This window comes from Homo sapiens, chromosome 20 (genome assembly GCF_000001405.40).
Source record: "Homo sapiens chromosome 20, GRCh38.p14 Primary Assembly".
Classification (NCBI taxonomy): domain Eukaryota; kingdom Metazoa; phylum Chordata; class Mammalia; order Primates; family Hominidae; genus Homo; species Homo sapiens.
The window spans coordinates 50285172-50292272 of NC_000020.11; the positions used below are offsets into that span (position 1 = coordinate 50285172).

The window sequence follows — 7101 nt, forward strand, 5'->3', positions numbered from 1 at the left end:
CTGTTTTCTAGATGACAAAACTGAACCCCGTTACAGGCTTTGGAGCCAGGTTTGAATCTCAGTCCTCTTACTTCCTGGCTGTGTGATCGAGGTTTGTCACTTGGTCCCTCTGAGGCTCAGCTTCCTTGTCTGCAAAATGGCACCCTAATGGTACCCAACTCACGGAGGTGTTTGGGGGGACAAGGTCAGCCATCCTGCAGGCAGGTGGGGTCTCTGGCCTCTCCCACGGGGTCCTGGGACTCCTGGCTCCGGAACCCCCAAGGCCCAGCCCCTCCAGGGCCCGCATGGTTCCCTCCTTGCTGGGATAATTTACAGTCCCAGGGCCATAGCTGCTGTTGCTTTATTTTTTTCCCTTCCCCGACTTCTCCCTTCCTCACCCTGGCCTCACTTCTCCAGAACCAGCTTGTTTTTGTTTTCTGTTTTTACGGCTCCATAAATGAGTCACGGGTCTGATTTGATTTAATTTCGTTGTAATTGTTATCTTTTCAAGCTTGTTTTTTTCCACTCGGTTACTCACGAGACCACAAAAACCTAAACAGGACGGGGCCTTCCCCAGCCCGGCCTCCTGGTCCCCCGGGACTCCGGGCCAGGGTCAGCAGCTCCTGGAGACTGAGGTGGGGTCTGTGGAGCTTCTGTGGGGAGGGACTTGGTGTCCCCAGCAGGACTGGGTATCCCGAGTCCCGGGCTGCAGCTCTGTTGCTGGACAGCCTTGAGAGAATTGTTCGAGCTTTCTGATTTCCCCAGCATCCTCCTTAGCAGGCTTTAGAACAGGGAACCAAAACCCAGGCACCTCTGGGCCAGAAGGTGAAAGGATGAGTAAGGTGGCCTGGTGCTGGCTCCGGTGAACTGGAGAGAACAGGCTCTCCTCAGGGGACGGTGGCCTCTGAGCCAGCAGGCGGCCCGGATCTTCCCATTTAGTAAGAGAAGCCAGAAGTCTGAGATTGTATGTGAAAAGTCCTGATTTTTAAATGTTGGCCAACGAGTCAAATTAAAAACAAATAAACAAAACCTGACTCTGTGGATATCTGTGGCCCCGTGGGCCACCTCTGGTCTAGAAGGTTCCAATTCTAGCTGCGGCAGCCGTGTTCTCAGTCCTTCCACCCTTCTGCCTGAGCAGTCCCCTCTGCCTGAAACTCTCTCCTTCTTCCTCCTCATCTCAGTCACTCTCATTCTCTGAACCTCGGTGTGTCTCCTGTTCGCAGCTCAGAAGAGATGACATCTGCTTCATCCATGTTCGCCTTCCCAAGGCGCCTAGTTGTTCCCAATTCACTTTTGTTTCTATGCTTTCTCTTCCATGGAGGGTCTGTCTTGTTTGAGACCGCCTTCGTAGTGGGGGAAATTAGCCCCTTAGTTGTTAAAAGTCATAACACATATCCTGCCTGTCTTATCATTCATTTCTAAAATGGGGCACGATACTTCTTTGGTCATTTAAAAACCGAAGACGCGAGGCCGACGCCTCCAGGGATGTGCGCTGGGCGGTAGGAGCCAGGTGTGGGGCCAAGGAGTGGGGGCGGAGGAGGAAGCCAGGTCCCCAGCCAGGGGGCTGAGGGCTGCTCCTCCAAAGCTTGGGTATGGACATGTGACCAGGGCCCACCAATCACATGCAGCCATGCCAGATTTATGAATCAGAAGTTGGAAATGTTGGGGGCTGATTGCTTAGGACTCCGTTCTGGGGTGGGTGGGGCTGCAGCCCGGCTATTTTTCCAGAAGCTGCAGTGGGCCAGTTCTGGGGGCAGTGACCAGGGCTCAGCGGTGGCCACAGTGCAGATGGAATCATTTTGCAGAAATGACCCTCCCCGTGATTATGTCAGGAATGTCAAGTACAATGAAAAGAACACTGCATTGTGCAGTCATGCAATTTGGTTTAAATATGTTTAAATGTATCCACGCTTGCTTTAGTGTGTTCATTCTAAGAATCTGTGTGCACCACAGCAATTATATGATAATTGTGTTAGGTCAAAGAGAAAATCAATTTATTTTCACAATTTTTATCCCCCACGTGGCAAGACAGTGACCTAGTCAAATCTCTCTAAGGTCATTCTTTTTTTTTTTTTTAAGACAGAGTCTTGCTCTGTTGCCCAGGCTGGAGTGCAGTGGCACAATCTCGGCTCACTGCAAGCTCCGCCTCACGGGTTCACGCCATTCTCCTGCCTCAGCCTCCCAAGTAGCTGGCACTACAGGCGCATGCCGCCACGCCGGGCTAATTTTTTTTTTGTATTTTTAGTAGAGACGGGGTTTCACTGTGTTAGCCAGGATGGTCTCGATCTCCTGACCTCGTGATCTGGCTGCCTCAGCCTCCCAAAGTGCTGGGATTACAGGCATGAGCCACTGCGTCCGGCCATTCTCTAAGGTCATTCTTCATTATGATGCTTTGGCTCTGGTTCTTGGTGAATAACTCACTTTACATGGCTTTTTCCTGAGCCAAATTGTCCATCTTTATTTTCTGAGCTGTGGCCGGAGGTCTCCAGAAGCCCCCTCCCAGCGCCTCCCTGGGTGTGTCTCATGCTGCAAAGGGCATGGCGATCTGCAGGCTGGTGCTGCACTCCTGGAGTCCTGATGGCTGTGAAGCCCTGGGACCCATGCAAGCTGAGCTCTGTCACCCACCACCACCTGTGGCCTCAGCCTTCCCAAACTCCTGGCTCAGCCCCTGCCTCACCTTCTCTTTCACCTACTTGTCATCCCCTCTTTAAGCGAGGCCTTGGGTGAGACCCCTGGGCAATGCTCTGGGCCTCAAATGGAAGCTCCATGGATGCTTCAGATGCTTCAGATCATGGAGTCCTGGAACTACTGAATTTTTTCCTCCAGGACGAAGGAATCACCAGCCCTCAGCAGACTAAACCTTTGCAACTCTAAAATTCAAATGCACAGGAGACCTGGTAGACCAAGTCATGTGCTTGTTTGGGAAGCATTTATTGAGCATCTAGTATGTGCTAAAGTACTAGGGAGACAGCAGGAAACAAAATGGACTAACCCTTTGACTTTATGGCTCTTAGGTTTTGGGAGGGGGAGACAGCAAAGAAATGACAAATAAGTGAAAGACATAGCATGTCCCATAGTGAGACCACTGGGAAAAGGGGCTGAGTCTGCAGGAATTGAAGGGGCTGGCCACACAGATGTCTGGGACAGAGCATTCCAGATCGTAGGAAAAGCAGATGCAAAGGCCCTGAGGTTGGAACAAGCTTGCATTGTGGGGGAAAGTGAAGGAGAGCCAGAGATCATCCAGGCCCTGAGGGCCTCAGGAGGAGGAGGAGTTTGAATTTTATTGCAAGTGAGGCGGGAGCATTGGAGGGCTCTGGGCACAGGAGGGAGATGGCCTGACTCAGGTTCTAACACCAGGTTCCTCAGCTTCGGCACCATTAACATTTGGGGCTGGATGCTGCTCTGTAGTGGGGTCGTCTTGTGCAGTGTAGGATGTTAAGCAGCGTCCCCGGCCTCTGCCCACTGGAGAGGTTGCCAGTCGCACCTCCTCCCCAAACCCAGCTGTGACAACTAAAATTATTTCCAGACATTGCGGAATGTGTCCTGGGTGCAGGATCTCTCTGGCTGCAAATGGGGCAAGTGGACTGTGGGGGGCCAGGATGTTGTGATGAGAGCAGAGAACCCAGCAGAGATGACTCCCCTAGTCTAGGACAAAAGGAGGGCGATGGCAGCAGAGGTGGGAGAAGGGACTGGATTCTGTTTGGAAGGCAAAGCCAGCAGGATTTGTTGGATTGGGCGAGGGAGATGTTGGAGTGGATAGGTGGATGCAGGCGCTATCGTTTGCTGAGATGGGGAACTGGTTTGAGGGGCCAACTTCATAGGTCTAGGGCAGGGCCCAGAACCTGGCGTGGTCACAACCTGGCCTCAGGGGGTGCTGAGTTTTTCACACTGTGCTTCAAAGAATTTAAGTGTCCAGAGGATGTACACTGGGGAAGGGTCTCTTCTACCGGTGCAGATGGGAACAAGTGGGCAGGCGGCCTTTCCTTGCCAGCAGACCAGGAGACTCTAAGATGCTTTTTCAAGGGAGTCAGAGGATCAGCCTCATTGGAGGACTGGTTCCAAAAGGCAGCCTCACAGCCAGGCGCGATAGCTCATGCCTGTAATCCCAGCACTCTGGGAGGCTGAGATGGGAGGATTGTGTGAGCCTAAGAGTTAGAGACTAGCCTGGGCAACATGGCGAAACCCTGTCTCTAAAAGAAAATAAATAAATAATAATAAAAATTAGAATAAAATAAAAGAAGGGATTCTGAGACTGAAAAAAGCCAAACTCAGGTGCTGCCAGGGCTGGGCAAGCAGCACTCATGGTGAAGTGGTGGGAGAGGGGTGCAGGCCTGTCTAAAGGGGTGGACGCTGCTCAGTTTCTGCCAGTGTCGCCCCGTGGGAAGCCGGGACTGACAGTTTTTCATGAGAAGCTGTAAATCTAGATCGGGGTGTCCAACCTTTTGGCTTCCCTGGGCCACACATAAAATACACTAACACTAACGATAGCTGATGAGCTAAAAAGAAAAAATCGCAAACAAAATCTCATGTTTTAAGAAACATTATGAATTTGTGTGGGGCCGTATTCATAGCCATCCTGGGCCACATGTGGCCTGTTGTTCGCGGGTTGGACAAGCTTGATCTAGATTGCTATATGAAACCTGTTGATATTTAAATGTTAGGGCAAATATCAGGCCAGGTTTGGCCTGAAGGCCGTGAGTTTGAGGCCTCTGTGATACTGCAGCCCTTCTATTTTGCAGGTAAGGAGCTGGCGGGGAGAGTTAGCACAGCTGCCTCCGAGCCTGGCAGATGGTCCTGGATCGGGGCTGGACGGGGTGACTTGGAGAGGTGGTGCTTGGACTCAACTGTGAAGAAGGGTCAGATTCCCACAAAAAAGAGGAGAGGGCATTGCAGGGGGCGGAGGAGTGTGAGCGAGCATGTGTGGCGGGAATATGGAAGACTGTTTTCCAGGTGGAGGGAGGTAAGAAGACGGGGAACTGGAAAAAGAGTTGAAGGAGACGGGTTGATGAGGATGATGGGGAATACACGGACACGGAAGGTCAGACTGGACCCAAAAGAGGGTTGGAAAAATCACCCAAACACTTCAATAATATTAGTAACTTCACTTCTGAAATTGTGTGGCAACAAGCAGCGCGTTTATTTTACCACTTACTTCGGGTTCTTGGCAACCCTGCGTACACCAGGGAACGCTTGCCCAACAAGAAACATTCTCACTCGCAGATTGTTTACAAACGCCTCGAAAATTTTTGTAATATTTTTGTAAATATTAAATTAGAAATTTAATATAGAATTATAAAGTGTGAGTGGGTTAATTAAAGATTTTAAAATTTCAACTTAGCAGGTTTTTCTTTTTCTTTTTTTTGAGACAGGGTCGCGCCTAGCAGGCTGGAGTGCAGTGGTACAATCTCAGCTCACTGCAACCTCCACATCCCGGGTTCAAGTGATTCTCCCACATCGGCCTCCTGAGTAGCTGGGACTACAGGCATGCACCACCACACCTGGCTAAGTTTTGTATTTTTTGATAGAGACAGGGTTTCACCATGTTGGCCAGGCTGGTCTCCAACTCCTGACTGCAAGTGATCCACCTGCCTCGGCCTCCCAAAGTGCTGGGATTACAGTAGTGAGCCACCACACCTGGCCAGCAGATTTCTTTAAGTATTTTAGAGGCAATATTTTTTCCCCAAAATCTCCCTTGTGCAAATTTTCTACCTCACAGCTGCCAAAATTTGAGGTGGTGGACAAAAATAGTTGATATATAATGATAGAAAGACGTAAGTGAGGTATATATATAGAGAGAGTCTAGAAAGAGTTCGCTTTCAAAGGGGAGGATCAGGGCAGTCTCCCTGGAGGAGGAGGTTTTGAATACGTGCGTTGAAGGGTGGGTGAAATCCAGACCAGGCAGGTGGGTTAGGGAAAGTGAGGGCATGCCGGGTGAAGGGCCCTGTGTGTGCACAAGGGTGAGGTGGGAATGATGAGTGTGAGAGTTTGTACCAAGGGGGCTGGGGCTGGGGTGCCAAGAACCAAAGAGCCATGATAAGGCCTGTCTGGGGCTCAGCCAAACTGGGGAGTAGTACACGAGAAGAGGAATGGGGAGCCCTAGAGGGTTTTAAGTAGGGGAGGAACGTGGAGTCCATAGCAAGGCAGAGTGGCTGGTGGGGAGGTGGGGAGGATGCCATGGCAACCATTCACGCCAAGCCTCAGCCCCGACCCTCAAGGAGGCAGGCAAGGCTGAGCTTCCCTTTCCAGATTGTTTGTGGGTGCAAAAGGGCAGCAAAGAATGTGGGTGCCTTGTCCTTCTGCCCATGGTCTAGTGTCCTTCCCCTCACCCCAGTCCCAGTGGAGCCATCATAGGTGAAATATAAGAACAAGTCACCTGCGTTCAGTGGCTGCAGAATACCTGGCCTCGCACAGAAGGCTGCGGGGATTTCTGCTCATTCATTCTTCCCACCTGCCGCATGAGGGAGGTGCTATGTCCATTTTACAGAGGACACTGAGTCCCAGAGAGGCTAAGCGGCATGCCCGAGGTTACACAGCCAAGAAGGGGCACAGCAAGATTCAACCCAAAAGTCTGCACTCCAGCCACTGCCCTATCATGACACTCACGAGCTCCCACCAAGTCTGGCTCCAGTGTTTCCAGTACCATAATCATCCCCATTTACCAGATGGGTAAACTGAGGCTCTGAGAGGTGGAGTCACTTGCCTGAGGCCATACAGCAGGAAGGGTAAAAGTAAAGATTTGAATCCCTGGGTCTAGTCGACTCTGGAGCCTGCTGTTCTCCCACCATACACCTCAGCTGCTCGCCCTCCTGGGCATCTGTTTCCTCATCTGATGAACAGGGGTGACGGCGATGCCTCCCTGGCAAGGTCCGCAGAGGATCCCGGGTGGTGTATGTCAATCACCCAGCTCAGTGCCTGGCACTCAGTGGATGCTTTAAACGTGATGCCTGTGTTTATTCGTATAAAGGTGGCTGAATATTAAATGGGTGGATTTATGGAAGGCACTTATGGTAATGCCCTGTACATAATAGATGCTCAAGAAACACTAGAAGCAGTTACTATGATTATAGGATCGACCACAGGGGACAGCCCAGTAACCCCTCAAAGTTGCTTCCTTCCCAAGTT

The 7101-nt window shown here is 51.1% G+C and overlaps 1 annotated feature.

The window, feature by feature from the left end:
* Nucleotides 696-745: a silencer, noted in NCBI's record as "silent region_13019". NCBI's record gives its function as "represses an Ori minimal core promoter by ATAC-STARR-seq in GM12878 lymphoblastoid cells {active_cell/tissue: GM12878}" and the evidence as "EXISTENCE:reporter gene assay evidence [ECO:0000049][PMID:35858748]".